The following is an 18880-nucleotide window of genomic DNA, read 5'->3' on the forward strand; positions in this document are numbered from 1 at the left end:
GCTGAGCCAATTAGAGTCCTTAACTAGGGTCCCTAAAAGTGAAACTGGGAAAGTGGAGCTCTCTTTTCTCCTGGTAGCCCAAGGGCATGGGAATATTACTTTCTGTGCCCATGGTCCTCCCCTTAGGGATAAACCCTCTCTTAATTTGGCCAGGCTGCTATAACAAAATGCCAGAGGCTGACTAGCTTTTAAAGAACAGAAACTTATTTCTTGGGTCTGGAGGCTGGGAAGTCCAAGATCAAGGCACCTGCAGATTCAGTGAGGGCTCGATTTCTGGTTCCTAGATGGCACCTTCTAGCTATGTCCTCACATGGTGGAAGAGACTATCTAGCTGTTTTATAGGGACACCAACCCCACTCATAACCTAATCACTTCCCAAGGGCTTTACTGCCTAATACCATCACCTTGGTTAGGATCTCAACATACGAATTCTGGGGAGGGATAGACATTCAAGCCATAGCAAAAACCATTGGTCAGCTACTCTTTCACTTTCACAACCTGCCTTCATAGCCTTCAAAACAAAATTCCTCTCTCCTGCTTAAGGTAGAACAAGCTGAACCCTAAGGATCCTATGCTAGTATGTAGCTACCCAGCCCAAACTCCCAAGTTTGGCATGATGGACTAAAGAAAGAGGAATTCACCCTAGGAATGCTTATAGACAGATGTTTACAATCAGATGCTCCAGCCACAATATATCCTTGGTGGATCCGCTGGCTTTGGGCAGCCCTGTGCCTGATAGTGGGGAAGGGGTGGCAATTGCTCTGCCAAACTGTGCACCTGCTTCAGGTCAGTACCTCCACAGTCAGGGCTGACCAGAACATAGAGAAGGGAGCCTTCCTGTCATGCCACTTTGAGCCACTGTCTAAAATATCTTCTGTCTGAAAATATCTGTCATCCTTAACTGGCACCGTGCCTAAAATTTCCACCTTTAGAGTTTATATGTTTGGCTTAAATCGTTAGTCTTCCCTATAATTGCACATCCATTAATGATAGAATGTGTGATGTTGTGGGGAGGATGTGGATGAATTAATAATTAATATCAAGATCCAACGGATTTTTTAAAGTTCCATTGATGTGGCTGATAGTTTGGAAAGCAGAGTTCTGACAGAGTTGGATGGGAGTCCTGGAAACCTCTGATGTGATGGGAAAGCATTCATACAAGAGGCACTGCTGAGTTTGGAGGGGGGCACTGAGTCTCTCTGATCATGGGTCACCTGGAGCAGGCAGAATGGACACAGGGCAGGTACTGGATGGAGAGGAGGCATGCTGAGAAAGAATGTCCCTGTTTTACCATGTTACTTTGGCCCAAGTCTGGTTCTGGCTCTTTTTTTTTTTTTTTTTTTTTTTTTTTTTCATCTTTCCACCCTGGCTTGAATATCTCTTTTCCATATTGCGTCCTCCCAGCTGCTTCTGACACACTACCTGTATGGGCAGAGACCTAGTGCCTAGACCTGGAGGGAGATGTCTGGGCTCTCTCACCTCCTCCACCTTCATAGAAACAGACAAGAGGAGCTTGTTCCTTCCCTTCATGTTCTCTTTCATTAATTGCTGTCAGCCAAGCCTTGTGCAATACCTGTGGTTCTCAAACTTGAGCATTCATCCGAATCACCTGGAAGGCTCATTAACACACAGATACCTGGACCCCACCCCTGAGTTTCTGATTTGCAGGTCTGGAGTATGGCCCAGTAATTTCCATTTCTAATAAGTTCTCAGGGGATGCTGATTCTGCTGGTCTGGGAACTACAGCCCGAAACCATCGGCCCAGACAGTGAGCTTTTTGAGGGCAGGAGTGGTCTCTTCAGAATCATTGTATCCCCAGAACCTAGCACAACACCAGGCACAGGGTTGAAGGTTAGGAAATGCTTGTTAATGGAGCTCTATGAAGCTACACAAGGCTTTACCCTGTTGCAGCATCAAGGCTAATCATGTAAATACCCTGAATTTTCAGATATCGGATTAAAAGAAGAAAATACTATTGCCATCTAATGTGTTTTTTACACAGTGGCATCTCCAGAATACATACAGGAGGGGATTAAAGGTGCCAGTCTGGGTGGAAAATGGGAGGTTGGGGGCTCGTCTTAAAACTCCACTTGCATAGGAAAGACCCTGTTTTTACTGAGACTCTTTTTGTGGTAACTTCAGAGAAGGTTGGTGGAAATCATTTAGAATTTTCCTACTCACCTTCCTTTTCCACCCCAACTGCACCCCCCGACCACTGCTTAGTGTCACCACTGATTTCACATGTGCATGAGGTATGTGTACCAGGTCAGCTGATCTGAGGTTCCTCTGTCAAGCTTCACCACAAAAGTGCAGCTTCAAGAGTCAGTGCAGTGAGGTGGAAGTGAATGGGATCGGGGATCTGTGCTTTTCAATAGAGATGAATGTCCTCTCTGCCAAGGTATTAATCTTTCCAGGTCTCCATAACCTCTTTTGTAAAATGAGTCTGGAGAAGGTGACCACTAAGTATTTTCCTATATTTCATAATTTCTATTATTTTAATTCAAAAGGCAAGCCATCTCAAATTTAGGAATGGGCTATTTGCTTGTAACCTAGCTATTTGGAATTTCAGAGATTTTTCTCCAGACAGACCATATTCCTTCTGGACAGTTCACACAATAATTGCTCTTTGTCGGGTTCTTAACTGTGTGTCAAGCACTGAGATAAATGTTTTGCATACTTTATTTCATTGAATGTGGCAACCCCCCTGGGAGGTAGGAAGTTTTATGATTCCCATTTTGCAGATGAGGAAAATGAGGGTCTGGGAGGAAAGAAAGAAAGACAGAGGGATCGAGTAAGGGAGAGAGAGAGGGAGGAAAAACTGAAGGAAAAGAAAGAGGGAAAGAGGGAGGAAGGGAGCAAGGGAGGGAGGGAGGGGAGGGAGGAAGGGAGCAAGGGAAGGAAGGAGTGAGGGAGGAAGGGAGGAAAGGAGGAAGGGAAGGAGGGAGGGAAGGAGGGAAGGAGGAAGGGAGGGAGAGAGGGAGGAAGGGAAGGAGGAAGGGAAAGAAAGAAAAAAGCTTTCCCAAAGCCTCACAGCTACTAAAAACCAAGACTGGGACCTGGACCTGAAGCCAGGTCTGCTGCTTCCAAAGCTACTCTAATCACCATAGTCTATTATTCCTACAAAAGCCTAGTTTACCCACAATGCACCTGAAATGTAGAGTCTGGCTTTGGAGGGAAGTAGGCTTTCTTTTTTCTGCCACTTTCAGTATAAGAGACAGAAAGCATTGTAGTCAAGTGTTCTGAGCCAGAGTCCCCAAGTTCAAAGCCCAGCTCTGCCACTACTGGCAGACTAATCTTGGACAACATACTTAATCTCTCTCTCCCATAGTTCCCATAGTTAAGCTAAACCATGTGAAACTGGTGATATTCTACCATATTTAATCTCCAAAAAGGGGAATTTCATGTCTAAATATTTAAAGTGCTTATTATAACAGTGCATGGCAAACAGTAAGCACTATATTCGTGTTAGCTATGATTCTTACTGAAAATTGCCTTGAGAGTTTGCCATATCTGGAGTATAGTAGGGGCTCAATAGTTGCTGGTGAATTTATTGAATGAAGTAGAAACTGGGATGCCCAGGAAACATCTGGGGTAGTCTGGGCTATGAAGACCCTCTAGGGCTGGGAGAAAGGCAAGTAGGGCAGGGGAGGAGGTTAGGACTCTTAGATTTGAATAGCTTTGAGACTCTGTTAGTATTGCCCTGGAATAAGGCAGGAAACCTCAAAGCGAGAAGGACCGATCCCATAGGTCCAGCCACCCTGAAGCAGTTTTTGTCCTCTGGCTTCTAAAGAAGCAAAGAAAAACCCTCAAGGCAGAGGCAGTGGGGAGTTAGGTCTTATGGTTTGCTTGTGTCTTGCTTTTTTTACAGCTAGAAATAATGAGAAAAGGCAGGCAAGGGAGAGCCTCCCTTCCAGCCTTTCCTCAGCCGCTGGTGTTTTTCCTTCCTAGACCACTGTGTGAGAGGAAGGGGAAAATGCAGAAATAATGGTGGATCTTTAGAAACAGAAAGACCAATGTTAGAGGTTAGGTGTAACTGAGCAGAGAGTAATATTTACCCAGGTATGGTAGTCATATCACCATATGGCTATGTGTAGCATGTGGACACACTTCTGTATTACAATAGTTATGTTCATTTCAATGTGTCACAAAAATCTTAACACATTAAGCTTTTTATTTCACAGATATTACTTTGGGATGAGGCTAAATTGATTAAAGTTTTTAAAAAATAGATTGCTATTTTTTCTTTCTTTTTTCATAATATTCCTTCTTGCATGTATAACAACTCATGGGTTGCAAAAGAGGATTTATTTTTTCGTGCCTGTCTACTATAAGTCTTTGTCCACAAGTCAAACAAAAGCAAACACAAGTGCTAAAAAGGAGACTGATTTTAAAATGTAGTTAAGAAATAACAGTCTAAGTGGAGCTTAGATTTCATGAAAACCATGAACACAGTAAATGATGACTATGGTTAAGGAAGCACTAGAAATGCAGTTAGGACACATCTATGTATTCCTGGCTCTGGCTTTTAGTAGCTAGGTGGCAGTGGGCAGGTTATTTAATCTCTCTAAGTCTCAGTTTTCTTATGTGTAAAGTGAGGATACTTGCTACCTCAAAGGTGATTTTTTTTTAATGATCAATGAGAAATGTCTTAAAAGCAGGTATAAGAATTCAGTAGACACTGTTTATGACTATTATCATTATTATTAGCCTGGCACACTCCCAGACCTCAGTTAATTGTAGTTTTTTAGACAGAAGTTTTCAAGCCATTCTTTCATTCAAATAAATAGTTCTTAAACACTACTGTGTTCTAAAGCTTATGCTAGCTGTGGGGACAAATTTGAAAGAGGGGAAGGAAGACCTACTCTCACCTCTCAATGTGTTCATGCCTCAAAATTTGGAGGGGGAGGTCAGGCATGGTAGCTGTAATCACACCTGTAATCCCAGCACTTTGGGATTCTGAGGTGGGCAGATCACTTGAGGTCAGGAGTTCGAGACCAGCCTGACCAACATGGTGAAACCCCGTCTCTACTAAAAATACAAAAATTAGCCAGGTGTGGTTGTGGGCACCTATAGTCCCAGCTACTCTGGAGGCTGAGGCAGGAGAATGGCGTGAACCTGGGAGGCAGAGCTTACAGTGAGCCAAGATCGCCCCACTGCACTCCAGCCTGAGCAACAGAGCGAGACTCCGTCTCAAATATATATATATATGTGTGTGTATATATATATATATGTGTATATATATGTATACATATATATGTGTATATATATATGTATACATATATATGTGTATATATATATATGTATACATATATATGTGTATATATATATGTATATATATACACACACACACACACAAAAATTAATCAAGAGTTGTGGCACGTGCCTGTAATACCAGCTACTTGGGAGGCTGAGGCAGGAGAATGAATCACTTGAACCTGGGAGGGTGCAGTGAGCCAAGATGGCGCCACTCCACTCCAGCCTGGGTGAAAGAGTGAGACTCCGTCTAAAAAAAAAAAAAAAAAATTGGAGGGGGAACAGGATGGTCAATAAATAGGTAATTACCAGTGTAAAGCCATAAACTCTGTAAGTGGTGTGGTTATAAAATATCCAGGGAAGGCCAAGCGTGGTGGCTCATACTTGTAATCCCAGGACTTTTGAAGGCTGTGATGGAAGGATCACTTGAGCTCAGGAGTTCAAGACCAGCCTGGCAACATAGTGAGACCCCCCACCCCCCGCCATCTCTACTAAAAAATTAAAAATAAAAATAATAAAAAATAATAACTTTAACTGACCAGGAATGGTGACGCATACCTGTAGTCCCAGCTACTTGGGAGGCTAAGGTGGGAGGATCACTTGAGCCAAGGAGACAGACAGCTGCAGTGAGCTATGACTGCACCACTACCCTCCAACCTGGATGACAGAGGGAGACCCTATCTCAAAGAAAATAAATAAAAAATAAATAAATAGTATGATAAAATGTCCAGAGAGCATGCAGGAGGAGATCAGCTTAGAAAAATCCTGTCAGCCACAGTGGTCTAGGACCTCCTCTGTGAAATGTGTTCAGTATAATTGAAGAACTGAATTAATTTACATTTAAAAACTCAAATGATATAAAATACTTTCATTCAGCACATTTTTATTGTTTTTGCAAGATGATGTTTCACTTTAACTGTTGAAAATTTAGCATCTGAATTGAGATGTGCTGTTAACTATAAAATACAAACCAGATTTTGAAGACTTAGTGCAAAAAAAATCTTTTTACTGTCTCATTAAAGATTTTTATGTTGATTTTATGTTGATAATATTTTGGATATATTGAGTAAAAAGCATAGTATTAAAATTTTTTTACTTATTTCATGTGGTTACTAGAAAATTTTACATTTCATAAGTGGGCCAGGTGCAGTGGCTCACGCCTGTAATCCCAGTACTGTGGGAGCAGATGACCTGAGGTCAGGAGTTTGAGACCAGCCTGGCCAACATGGCGAAACCCTGTCTCTACTACAAATACAAAAATTGGCTAGACATGGTGATGCATGCCTGTAATCCCAGCTACTCGGGAGGCTGAGGCATGAGAATCCCTTGAACCTGGGAGGCGCAGTTTGCAGTGAACTGAGATAGAGCTGCTGCAATACAGCCTGGGCGACAGAGGGAGACCCTGTCTCAAAAAAAAAAAAAAAAAAAAGTCATAAGTGGCTTGTGTTTTATTTCTATTGGACAGTGCTGATTACAGCAGAATGCAAATGACATTCACAGTAGAGAACTCCAGAAGATGTGGACATTTCAGAAGAGACCCAACTTCGGTCACCTTGGACAATTCTTTCTGACAGATCTAGAGCAAAGCTTAAAGGATCTGAGGGCACCGATTCAAAGGCTGTTTCTGGGGCTGCAGGAGAAGAGAAGTGCCTCTGAGGTTTCGTCCTAACTACAGGACCTTGCTAGAGTTGCCAGATTTAGCAAACTTATAAATTAAAACCCGGCAACCCTAGACCTTGGGTATGTCATAGAACTGCAACAAGCCTCGGTCTCTTCATCTTTAAAATTGGGATAAAAAAGTAACTGCCTCGTGAGTGTCCTGTAAAGCTTAAATGAATCAAATAAGACTAGTAGGAGATGCATTGAGAAAGTTTGGCCTAAAAGAGCTAAGCAATGAAAACAAATTGGGGAACTTTCCAAACGTGCCTATCTTTCTTTAGCTCTGAGCATGCAGGTCAGGGAGAGCTCTCCCAGGCCAGTGTTAAGGGAGACACCAGCCCCTACCTGGGAGATGTATTAGGTTAGGCCTGGCTTGGGGATTTCCATGGAGTTAGGATCCGGCATGGGATCATAAGCCATAAGGAGGAGGGGGACACATAATGACCATGTCGAATGTCACTCTGCTGTCATTGCAATGCCTTGTATAAGCCAGAAATGCCACAACAGTCTGCAGTGCTGTTGCCGGTTGACAGAATCATGTGCCTTTAGCACCAAAGAAATGTGTGTGACTTGAGTGTCACATAAAACCCTTAAAATTAGCTCTCTTGGGATGGGCGTGGTGGCTCACGCCTGTAATCCCAGCACTTTGGGAGGCCGAGGCAGGCGGATCACCTGAGGTCAGGAGTTTGAGACCAGCCTGGCCAAATGGTGAAACCCCATCTCTACTAAAAATACAAAAATTAGCTGGGCATGGTGGTGGGTGCCTGTAATCCCAGCTACTTGGGAGGCTGAGGCTAGATAATCGCTTGAACATGGGAGGTGGAGGTTGCAGTGAGCCGAGATCGCACCATTGCACTCTAGCCTGGGCAACAAGAGCGAAACTCCATCAAAAAAAAAATATATATATATATATATATAATATATGTATGTGTATATATATATATATATATATATGTATGTGTATATATATGTATGTGTATATATATACGTATGTGTATATATATATGTATGTGTATATATATACGTATGTGTATATATATATAAATTGTCACAAATTCAAAATAAGTCTACTTGTATCACTTATCTAATTGCAGATGAAAATGTAGTTCTTTTTTATAGATGCAAGTAGCTTACATTCCAAAAAGAAATTATCCTCCCCCACCCCACCCCAGATTAGCTCTTTCCTCATAAGAAGCTGACCATACTGACATTAAGCATATCAGAGGCTGAGGAGGACTACCCCTTGCCTGTGTTTTCATTCCCTGCTACCTAATCAGGCCCTGGGAGATAGAACTAATTTTTTTAACGTGATGTTTCTTTCCATCAGAATCAAGTTTTAAATGTTTCAGGTTAGCTATGTGAAATCCACTTAACTTAAAACCATTTGCAAGAGAGATCAAATCCAATTTGCTAATACAGGACTTTTTTTTATTTCTGAGTTTGAAAAAATCTTGAGCTAACCATGTCAGAAATTAAAAATTGAAAAGGACTCTGGCAGCCTCCCCATGTGCCTAATTTGGCTTTGCTGAACAAATGACCAAATTGGAATGAGAATTACATACAGGATTTGCTCAACATCCTTACTTCTTCAACTCATTTCTCACTCCTGAAAAAGTACCAAGTTTGCATGCAGGAGGGAACATATCTATATTGACCACAATGGCGTCAAACCAGGTAGAAATAGAAAAATGGTGATTTTAGATTCTAGCTGTGAATAAACTTCTACAGTAGAAGATATTTGTCATAGAAACTCAATTTAATGAATTTAGGATCAGAAAGGACCATAATGGTCTTTTTTTTTTTTTTTGGCTAATTTTATTAACAGGTTATTTTGTTCATGCCCTACCTTGCAAAGAGTAGTAATAAAAATATTAAGCGGGTAAGAGGAGGAGGCTTCTCTGAAGTCCACCTCATTTTGTCTTTAATAAGGCATTACATTGCACACAGACACCAGAATTCTCTGTCTTTCTTTAAGGAGATGGAAGAGGACAGTAGAGAGAGCACCAGAGAGTCCAAAGATCAAGGTTCAAATCCTGGCTCAGTCAGCCATTAGCTGTCATGACCCTAGGCAAGTCATTTCACTTAAGTAGGGCTCAGGGTCACCATCTGTCTATACAGCAAAAGTCTGGACCAGATGGCCTTTGAGGCCCATCTTAACAGTACCTCTGCCATTCTAATGTGACACAGAAAAGGAAACCACAGAGGTTTCTCTGAAGGAGGGGGTTCAGGCAAATGAGAGAATAATACCTAGGTGAATAGAACCCCATTCTTCACTGATGCTTAGTGTTGAGCTGATGGTTGTCAGTGGATGGAGTGATACTCAAGAGCTTCAGGTGTCACACAGCTCAGGTTCAAATCCCACCTCTAACACTTACCAGCTGCGTGTTACTTCAGCACTCTGAGCCTCAATTTCTTCATCTGCAAGATGGGAAAGCATTATATATCTCATAAAATTCGTAACAATTGCTTATCACAGAGCCTGGCACATGCAAAGGACTCAATAAGAGTTAGCCATGATCACCATTGTTACAAAACAACCCAAGACCCAGCAGGAGGTGAGATGTTTCTTGAGTGCCTCCTGTGTGCCGGTTACCCCCACCCAGATCCTCACCACTTTTGCACCTTCTCCACCCTATAAGGTCAGTGTGAGCAAGAAAATGTGGCTAAGAGCACACACTTGGCTCTAAAACCAGCTGCCCCACCTACCAACCCTGTCAACACCTTTATGCCTCCACTCCTTCCTCCGTAAAATGGGAATCATAGTTCTTACCTCTAGGTTTACTGTAAAGAGCAAATGAGGTGAGCATATAGAGGGCTTAGAACAGTGGTTGACACTGAGTCAGTACGTTACAAAAATGTTAGTTGTTATCATAGCTAAGGAGAGTGAAGCTCAGAGAGGTAAATCTGTTTGCCCAAGGTATCCGCTTATGCATAGTTGTGCAGAAATGTGAACCCTGATTGACATGAACCTGGCATATATATCCCAGAGATCTGGGATAGGGAGATCCTTCCTCCCTTATACCTGGTTCCTAAGGCCCCTCCTGGCCTGTTCCCCCAGTTTCAGGATGGAGATCCAGGATAGGGAGATCCTTCCTCCCTTATACCTGGTTCCTAAGGCCCCTCCTGGCATGTTCCCCCAGTTTCAGGATGGCTGCCTGTGGGCTCCAGAGTTCAGATCAGAGGGCTCACTGGGAGCAGTTTGTTGAGGGCTGCTGGGGACTTGGGAAGGGAAATAAATCCCAACCCTCTCCTCCCTTGCCTGCAGCCACTGAGGGGAGAAAGTGCCCTAGGAATGGAGTATCTCGGGTGTCCTAATTGGCACACTCTGACCCCCTTGCCTCTCCTCCTTGCAGAAGGCTATTTTTCACGAGAGAGTTCTTTCTCTTTGTTCCAGTGCTCATTGCACATCTACGGATCGATATGACATCTTATCCTCTAAAACATTCATAATGTCTGCTTCCTAGGATTCTGGTGGCCGCGTGCCACGTGCAGCCTGCGTCTTCTTTCCTTTGTAGTCAGTGGTCTCACCGATCTGCCCCTCTTTAACGGGGCTGCTGGTTGCCGTTCTTTGAAGAAAGACAAATATTGTTTGGGTTGTCAACAGTGAATGACAAGCTCGGAGGGGAGAAAGATCCATTTAGGTGTAGATGTGTGTATTGTGGGGATGTGTTTCGTTATCAGAAAAGCTCTTAAAATCCCAGACCATGATTTATTTGGTGAATAAAACCTACCGATATTATCATTCTCTAAAGGTATTTTGATCACATGGGTCCTTTCTTGGAGAAAGAAAAGCTTTTATTTCTTAACCAGGAAAAAAATTGCAGCAGGAACGGGGTGGTCTGCGGTGGGAAACGACACTCTGTGCGGCTAATGGCTCCAGGCTTGTGTTTATCTGCATGAGGCTGAGCTGACTTGGTGGACAATAGGATGCCTGACTAGCATTGCCAGTCAGGTGCATTCCTGGCCACCCCGCACAAGGAAAAGAAAGTGGCTGTGAGCACATGTGTCTTTCTTATGTATTGATCTTTCCAGTGATGCTGAGAGCTAGGGGGTGTGGTTAGAGGTCACCTCGGCACACCAGATGCCACACACTCGCAGTGTCAACAGCACCCACCTGCAGTGCACCTGCAGCAGCGGGTTCCAGGAGACAAGGGGAGGGACGCTGCCAGTCGGGGAGCCCCACGCATCCTGAAGCTGACAGGAGCCCCATTTGTTTTCTGCAAACACAGCAATTGATTAATCTCGTACCACCTCCCACTCACTGTACCATCCTGAGCCTGTCATGAGAATAGATTAATTCTCTGGTCTTTCCCTGTGGATTCTTCTTGTCTCAAGAACACACTGCTCCCTGATCCCAGAGCTGCCTCACGCAACTATCACCTTGTTCTCATGGCAGACACAAAGGAGGGGACAGAAAGCCTTGCTACTTTTGTGAGGGACTAGAAGTAGGAAGGCAGCAGACAAAATCCCTGCTGAGGACAGTTTTGGGACTGTAGCTGGAAGATTTGAGTTCCTCTAGAGAGGTGAATGCAGGTGAGTTTCTCCAATGCCCCCTCTCATTTTGATGATCTTGCCACGATTCTGGGATTGTATCTGCCTCTCATCTTTCCTCTTCTTTGTAATTCCTGAGCCATAAGCCTTGCAACCATTTGGAGCTGCAAGCTGGAAGTCGGACAGAGGCTAGTAAGCTTTCAGAACATTCTCGGGAGATAGGTGCACAAATCCCATTACCGTTAAAGGGATTTGTGGGTGTAACTTCCATGCAGTGCTTTGAAAATTCATTCCACTCAGTGTATTGCAACACTGTCTGGGAAAAATAGGAGAAATCACTTCACCAAGGTGGTTAGAAAAGGATTTTTGGTAACCCTTTAAGATTTAAATTTTTAAACTCCTTTTAAGACTTAAGGCATTTCCAAGAATGTTATCCCACATAGTTTTGTTTGCATTACTTCTTTCAGGCTGAAGGTAATTTTGGCACTGACAGCATTCCTAAAAATAATAATACATTGCAGTGGGCCCCCTCCTCTTTGAGGAAGAGGCACTGCACTCAACTGCATCCCCAAAGGATGACAAGCAAACTGACAAGGGAAAAAACACCAAACATGTTGTTGACTGGCCTGACTGGCAATTGAAGTTGCCGAGCAGATTTATTTTACGTTGACAATGGTGGTTCAAGTTAAATAGCAAACTAGTTGCCAACCAAGGACATATTCGTAGAGACTAATGGCTGCTTACAAAGGGAAGTGTGTATTCATGAGTGAGCCTTGACAATATTTAGTAAGTAAGTGATTCTATAGCCTACCTGTCCTGTTCGGTCTTGTCTAAGTAGTGGTTCACTTGGAAACCTCAGAGGGCCGATGTCCTCCAGTGAGAACTCTGAATGGAGTCTCTAGGAGGACAGTATGGGAATTTAGAACTCTGACTCTGAAGTTGCATGTGTCTGGGTCTAAATCCCAGATTTCCCACTTACTGGCTGAATTGTCTTGGGCAAGTCTCTTAACCTCTCTAAGCTCCTATTTCTTTATCTATAAAATGTAGATTATATTACCACCTAATCCAGTGAGAATGAAGGGGAAAAAGTAAACGTTCATCTTCTTCAAAATCCAGTGTCATCCCTTCTCTTCCAAACAAAAGGCAAAGCTCCTCAAAGGCAACTACTCCTTCACCCTGCCCGTCCCTTCACCCACCACTCCTCCTTCTCACTAACTCCACTCCCCTTCGGCGTGCTCTTCCCCAGACGTCAGCATAAACTGCTTTCTCAATTCCTTTATGTCTTTGCTCAAATGTTACCTATCACAAATGCCATCCTTGACCAGACTACATTAAATGAAAAAAGGAAGAAATTTTCAATGCATCCCCCACCTGCGAGTGCCTCTGAACCCTAAACCTGGCTTTTCACTTATGTGTTTAGTTTCTACACCTGCCTCTAGAATGTAGGTTCCATGACAGCAAGGATTTTGTCTTGTTAAAACTGCTTTACTCCTGGTGCCTAGGACACATCTGACACCCAGTGGGTGTTTAGTAAATATGTGCTGACTGGCAAATTATGAATATATGCTGCATGCAAATAATGAGCCCAATACCTGGCACATGGTCAAAATGAACGTTAATTGTCACCATCACCATTGAGTAGACTTATTCACATGTGTTAATTTTCACTGCTGATTGCAAAGGGGCCTTTGCAGGTTGCCTATGCAAGTTCAGGGTAAGCAGTTGTGCATGTTAGCCCTGATTATTCCACTGTGGTTCTCTCCTCCCAGCAGTGGCACTTTTGGAATTGGTATATTTCCCCCAGGAGCCCCGACATTGTTGACTTAATTGGCTGGTGCAGAGGCACGGAGACCCAGCCCTAACCCTTTCTGTCATCCTACCTGGTCTCTGAATGAGCTCTGCCATCATCTCTAAGGCCCTTGTGTATCTGATGGCATGCTGAGCCCCAAGACCCAGCAGGCATGGCTCTCTCCTCCTGCTCCCTGAGCTCTGCTTGGCCTGCAGTCTTCCATTTTCAAAGGGAAAGCCCAATCTCCTCCTCGCGTTATGTATCGACAAGTCTGATCTTTAAAGACACCCCCTGCTCCTGGGGGCCTGCTCGGCAAACACAGAGCATCCGTGGCCTCCATGTTTGCCCTCTTTGACAAGCAGGGGCTGAGCAGCTCTCTGGGAAGTATTGCTGACATATTGATTGACTCTCTTGTCAGGTTGATCCTCTGCCAGCCAATGAACACAGAAGGTTCTAAGTGGCACCCAGCAGGGCCCACACATTCCCTAATTACTATTTCATACAACCCCCATTCCAAGCTGCCACTTTTCTGGCCCTATAATCTCCCTGTCCTGTGGTTGCTGGAGAATCCTCAGTTACTCGCAACGAACCCTGCTCCCTTTCTCGGGTGTCACTCCCTTGCAGTATTGCCTTTGGAACCCACCTGGCACAAAAACACAGCAACTTCAATAAGAAAATATCACACCCTCACTCCACGTAGGTCTGTTTATTATCCTTACTGAAATCGGGGATCTGTGTGTGGTCCCACCATCCTGTCTTGGTTCCCTTCAGAATGCCAAGAAAGTTTTCTCCAATTAGCCGGAGGGATACTCTCAGAGTTTGGCTGCCTATTGTGTTTTAAGTGGCTGGCTTCCCAGCTGCCACCTGGATTTCATGAGTTTCCGCTCAGAGCCCTTCCCCATCCCATCCTTAGTGACCCATGGAGCCCGAGGGTCTCTCTGAAGCGGAGCCTGTCAGATCATGATGAATTGTACATTTTGGCTGTCAGTGAGAGGGAGGAATGTTAGGGAGAGGGCCTCCCAAACTCATTTCACTTTTGACCCCCAGATGATTTGGACCAGGCCTTTTGGGATGAACTGCTAGAGCATTCAAGGTGGGGCGGGAGAGGGAACCACCCCAGTGCATCCAGGATCTCTTGAGGAGACCAGCATTTATTTGAAATCTTGAGATGAAGCAGCAATAACTCTGGCTACTCTGAGGTTTCTCAGCTTTCTTTTTTTTTTTTTAACTAATTAAATTTTTGGTAGAGATAGGGTCTTCCTATGTTACACAGGCTGGTCTTGAACACCTGGCCTCAGGCAATCCTCTTGCCTCAATCTCCCAAAGCACTGGGATTATAGGCGTGAGCCACCCCATCCAGCTCAGCTTTCTAAGTCTGGTTCTGAGAGTAAATTAAAATTGGAGGTATGATGATATCACATTTACAGTGCTGTTTTTTGTTGTTGTTCATAGAAGCAAATATAGTGGCCCAAAGTATGTGCTAATTCTCTCTGGCTGAGTTTCAGAAAGGACCTTAACCCAATAAAACCTAAAGGGATGCACAGAGATTTGCTGTATAAAAATGCCATTTCCTAGTTTCCTTATAGGTGAAAGTATCAGTCAAGCTAGCCTCAGACAGGCTGCTGTAACAAACAATCCCAAACTCTCAGTGGCTTATAACAGTAACAGTTCATGTCTTCATACATGCTGTATTCTATCACTGGTCAGCCATGGCTGTAGCCCACGTCATCTTCACTGAAGACCCAGAATGGCTATGTGATAAAGTATGTGCTGAATTCAACAGTATAAAGAAATCTAACCCCTCTCGGGAAGGGGTGTGGTCATTCACCAACCCCAATGAGATTATTATGAGTTTTGAAACAAAGAAGAGGTTTGCTGAGACTCCATTACCCATAGAATCTGTAACCAGATCACTATGAAATATGAAGCAGATAGCCACCTCCCACAGTAATTTCCTTCTGATTCTGAAATCCCTGTTCTCAAACTTCACAGTCAATAGTTTCCTCATCTGTGAAATGGGGTTGATAATAGTACCTACCTGTGAGTCTTAAGATAATGCCTTTAGAATGTCTACTATGGTACCTGGCTATAGAAAAGGTTCAATGATGGTGGGGCGCGGTGGCTCACGCCTGTAATCCCAGCACTTTGGGAGGCCGAGGTGGGTGGATCACGAGGTCAGGAGATCAAAACCATCCTGGCTAACACGGTGAAACCCCGTCTCTACTAAAAATACAAAAACAAAATTAGCCAAGCATGCGGGCGCCTGTAGTCCCAGATACTCGGGAGGGTGAGGCAAGAGAATGGCCTGAACCCAGGAGGCAGAGCTTGCAGTGAGCCTAGATAGCGCCACTGCACTAAAAGAAAAGGTTCAATGATTGGCAGCAGGTGTTGATATGCTGATGATTAAAATATCCTTCCCTTTGCAAACTAGTCCATATTGCTACCAGCACTGTTTTATCCCATCTTCTATGCCTCTGATTATGTGTTTTTTAATTTATAAGCATATAACATCCTACAATCCAACCCCCCAAATCTGCCCCCCGTGTATCATTATCTATTCTAATAAATATTGATGGAGTGCCATTTATATTCAAGACACTGTCAGATCTTTTGGGGGTTGCAGATGTGTAACCTCTCTGTGGCCCTTAAGGAGCCATTATTCTACCTGTACAGGGAAACCTTTATGAAAGGTAAAGGGAGAGATTGATTGAGAGACTGATTTCTCAGCCCAAGCCATAGAGCAAATCAGTAGCAGAATAAGAAATAGGGCTCTCATTAGTCAGGAAACTCATTTACTTCACAGCTCCCTGGGGTCTTTATCCTAAGGACACTTTAGTCCCTCCCCACCGGCCAGAGAGAGCATCTCGTTTTCTTACTCAAGTGAGAGAGAAAGAATGGCTGATTAAAAAAAAAAAAAAGTGCCAACAAAAACCTATTTCAGACGCTCCCAAAAAACAAGAGAAGGTGGTTATACCCCAGATATAATTCTCACTTATTTACTTAATGTTCAGTTCAACAACAGAAAATATGCCCAAACTTGAGTTTCATTTTTGTTGCATTGCTTCTTTTGGAAGGACAGGTCTCATGTTCAGCAGATTTGGCTTTTCCCCTTCTCCACCTCCATCTCACTTTCTTATTTTTCTTCTCACTCCTGGGAGTTGTCTGAGAAGTTACTGGTGTACTCTGACCCTAACCCTTTCCACCTCATCTGTAGTTTTCTTATTTTCAGGATACTTTTAAAAAATAAAAATAAAAAGATGCCATGGAACCCAAAACAAAGAAAAAGGTGGGAAGGGGAGGCAAGAGGGAAGGCATCCTTGGAAACAGAGGAAACACAGTTGCAGGGATGTCTCTTCCTGTTCAGTAACATTAGGGGATTGTTTGCTTCCTTTTCTCCCAAAGCTGATGGTTGCAATATGTTCTGCACCTTACAGTGGCAAGATTGAGTGCTATAAGAGCAGAGCAGTTTTGACAAGAGTTTGAGATGGGATGTTGGGGAGGTTGTCATCTTTGCCTGATGGGACCCACCACTCCTTCCATAGACGTGAAATCAAAGCTTTGTTAGGCCTGGGTTCCAGCGGCACCTGCAGTACCTGCCAGTGTCTGTCTTAAGACCCTCCTTGAAAGAACCGCACCTCCAGTGCAGCTGCAGCTGGCCCAAGGCGAGCTTCAATAACCCAATAGTATCATTTTTTTAAAAAATTATTTTAAAATAGCTAATTCCTTGGCTCCCTTCACCTGGTAATTACAAATCAGAAGCTATCGTTATCTTGAAGCCACCATGATTAGTTCTCATTTCCTGACCTCTGTATAGTGAAAATATGTCATTATTTGAGGCAATGGAATCTGGTCTCTTCAAGTGAGTGACCTACATATAACGGACAAACTGCAGGAGAAAATTAGGTGTTACCTTGATGGAAAGTGTACAGTAAATGTCACTTACTCTTATTACTATTTATCATCTCAAGAAGTTGTAACAGTGGGCCTTTCACTTTAGAGGAAAGAAAACATGGTTCTAAGATGGAGAAGAGTGTAAGTGAAAAGCAGACACACCCACACACACACGGACACCTTGCCACCTTCATCTGTGGCCATCAATCTGAGCTGTATTGTTTGAAGATAGGTTTTTAACCTTAATAGAATGCAGTCTGACTTTACGTGGTGGTAGGCATGCAGAATTAATTGCTGTGTGAACAATTTCCTAAGCATTGTTAATTGTGTTCCCTGCAGATAATTGTTTCTCCCATCCCCACATCAGACTCCAAACGTCTCCCTGTCAACAGCCCTTTCTCTCCTGCGGTGGTAGGAATGTAGCAACAGTGTCAACCTGTGTCCAGTGGAAATGCCAGACATCGTTTGGATGAGAGACATGCAGGGGAATAAATTCCTTACTTATTCTCAAAGGAAGCATCTCTTAGATAAGGGCTTTGAAAGAATACAGGTGTTTAGGGTTTGCTTTTCATTCCACTCAGTAGAAAAAACTCACCAAGAACCATCAGGGATAGGGTTGTGTTAAGTTTGCTAAACTCATGGTGGGGAGTTGACACAGGCAGGATGACAAGGAAGACCAGAAGTTTGTTTGGAGGCCTGGGGTGCCCATGGGAGTCAAGACTTCTTCAGACGTGCTCAGTTCCTTAGCAAAGAACAGGCAGTATTTCAGAACTCTGTTTCATTCCATACTCTGCTAAAGTGAGAGCGACAGAGACAGAAAGAATAGTAATGTTTTCAGAAAAGGACCCCATTCCACCATCAACCCCCCAAGCTTTTTCTACAATGTGCTGAAAGGTATCCACTCATCATGAAGAGGAGTGGAAAGGAAAAATATTCTAAAAGTTTGAAATAGTTAGGGAGGTGGGCCAGTACCACTATAGATGCTGCTGGCTGCACTGATAGTTCAGAGCAGGTACCAGCAAACAGGTACCAGCAAACAGGTACTATTCGGGTAGCCTCCTTTGAAGCTGATTTACTTGTGAGTGTATAGTTTGGGGAAACAATCCTTGTCAATGCCCCTAGACTAACAGTCTAAAAGCAACTGTGTCCAGAGTGTAGAAAAGGATGGATGTGGTAGAGCAGCACTCTTTACAGTGATTCGAAAGGGCCATTTTCCCCTCCATGGTGGCACCGTTTGGAAGATCTGGGCTGTGTTTTCTCCTCCCTCCTCCGCTCACTGTAAGGGATCCTCTCCCCCTGAGACTGTGAGCAGCAGCGCCAGAAGGGGAGACCTAACCACCCAGGTCTCTGCTTTCTGTATTTAGCTAATCCCTGTGGCCTGGGGCAAGCCATTTTTGACGCAGCTTCCTCAAAAGGCAATCGCTTGGAAAAGGGCACCTGGCCCTCCCCCTTGACATTTGCATTGCTGAATTATCTATTCATATTTTCATTACTTTGTCTCTCCTGCAGCAATGCATCTGCTCGGACTCAATTGGCAACTCCAGCCTGCAGATGGGCACACCTTTAACAATGGGATAAGGACCGGCTTACCAGGAAACGATGATGTGGCAACAATGCCATCTGGAGGCAAAGGTGAGGTTACAGCTGCTGCTTGCCCTCTTGAGGTCACAGGAAAATTCTGAGCTCTCGCCAGCTGGTTCAGGTTTTCTAATCCAAATCTTGGAAGGTATGCCAAAAGAAAAAGAAACGGGGGGAAAAATCATTGCCTTTCATAGGTGCCCCCATTAAAAGCTGTTT

At 43.8% G+C, this 18880-nt stretch overlaps 1 protein-coding gene and 1 pseudogene across 33 annotated transcripts in view, besides 1 other annotated feature; one reads left to right on the forward strand and one right to left on the reverse strand.

Annotated features, from left to right (window-relative positions):
* Positions 1–18880, forward strand: part of TENM2 (teneurin transmembrane protein 2) — a 1285129-nt gene that overhangs the window by 1049806 nt on the left and 216443 nt on the right. For 32 of the 33 annotated variants that reach the window (XM_047417418.1, NM_001395460.1, XM_017009661.2 and 29 more), the window contains one exon: positions 18593–18715. The exons of the other annotated variant lie outside the window; for it this stretch is intronic. In XM_047417418.1, the coding sequence (XP_047273374.1) occupies positions 18593–18715 (123 nt within the window). The remainder of the gene's footprint in view (positions 1–18592; positions 18716–18880) is intronic. 33 annotated transcript variants of the gene reach the window in all.
* On the reverse strand, positions 4257–4371 carry LOC124900211 (uncharacterized; annotated as a pseudogene).
* Positions 10750–11044: a silencer, noted in NCBI's record as "tiled region #1255; HepG2 Repressive non-DNase unmatched - State 21:Repr". NCBI's record gives its function as "represses a minimal TATA promoter and a strong SV40 promoter by Sharpr-MPRA in HepG2 cells {active_cell/tissue: HepG2}" and the evidence as "EXISTENCE:reporter gene assay evidence [ECO:0000049][PMID:27701403]".

This window comes from Homo sapiens, chromosome 5 (genome assembly GCF_000001405.40).
Source record: "Homo sapiens chromosome 5, GRCh38.p14 Primary Assembly".
NCBI classification, from domain to species: Eukaryota; Metazoa; Chordata; class Mammalia; order Primates; family Hominidae; genus Homo; species Homo sapiens.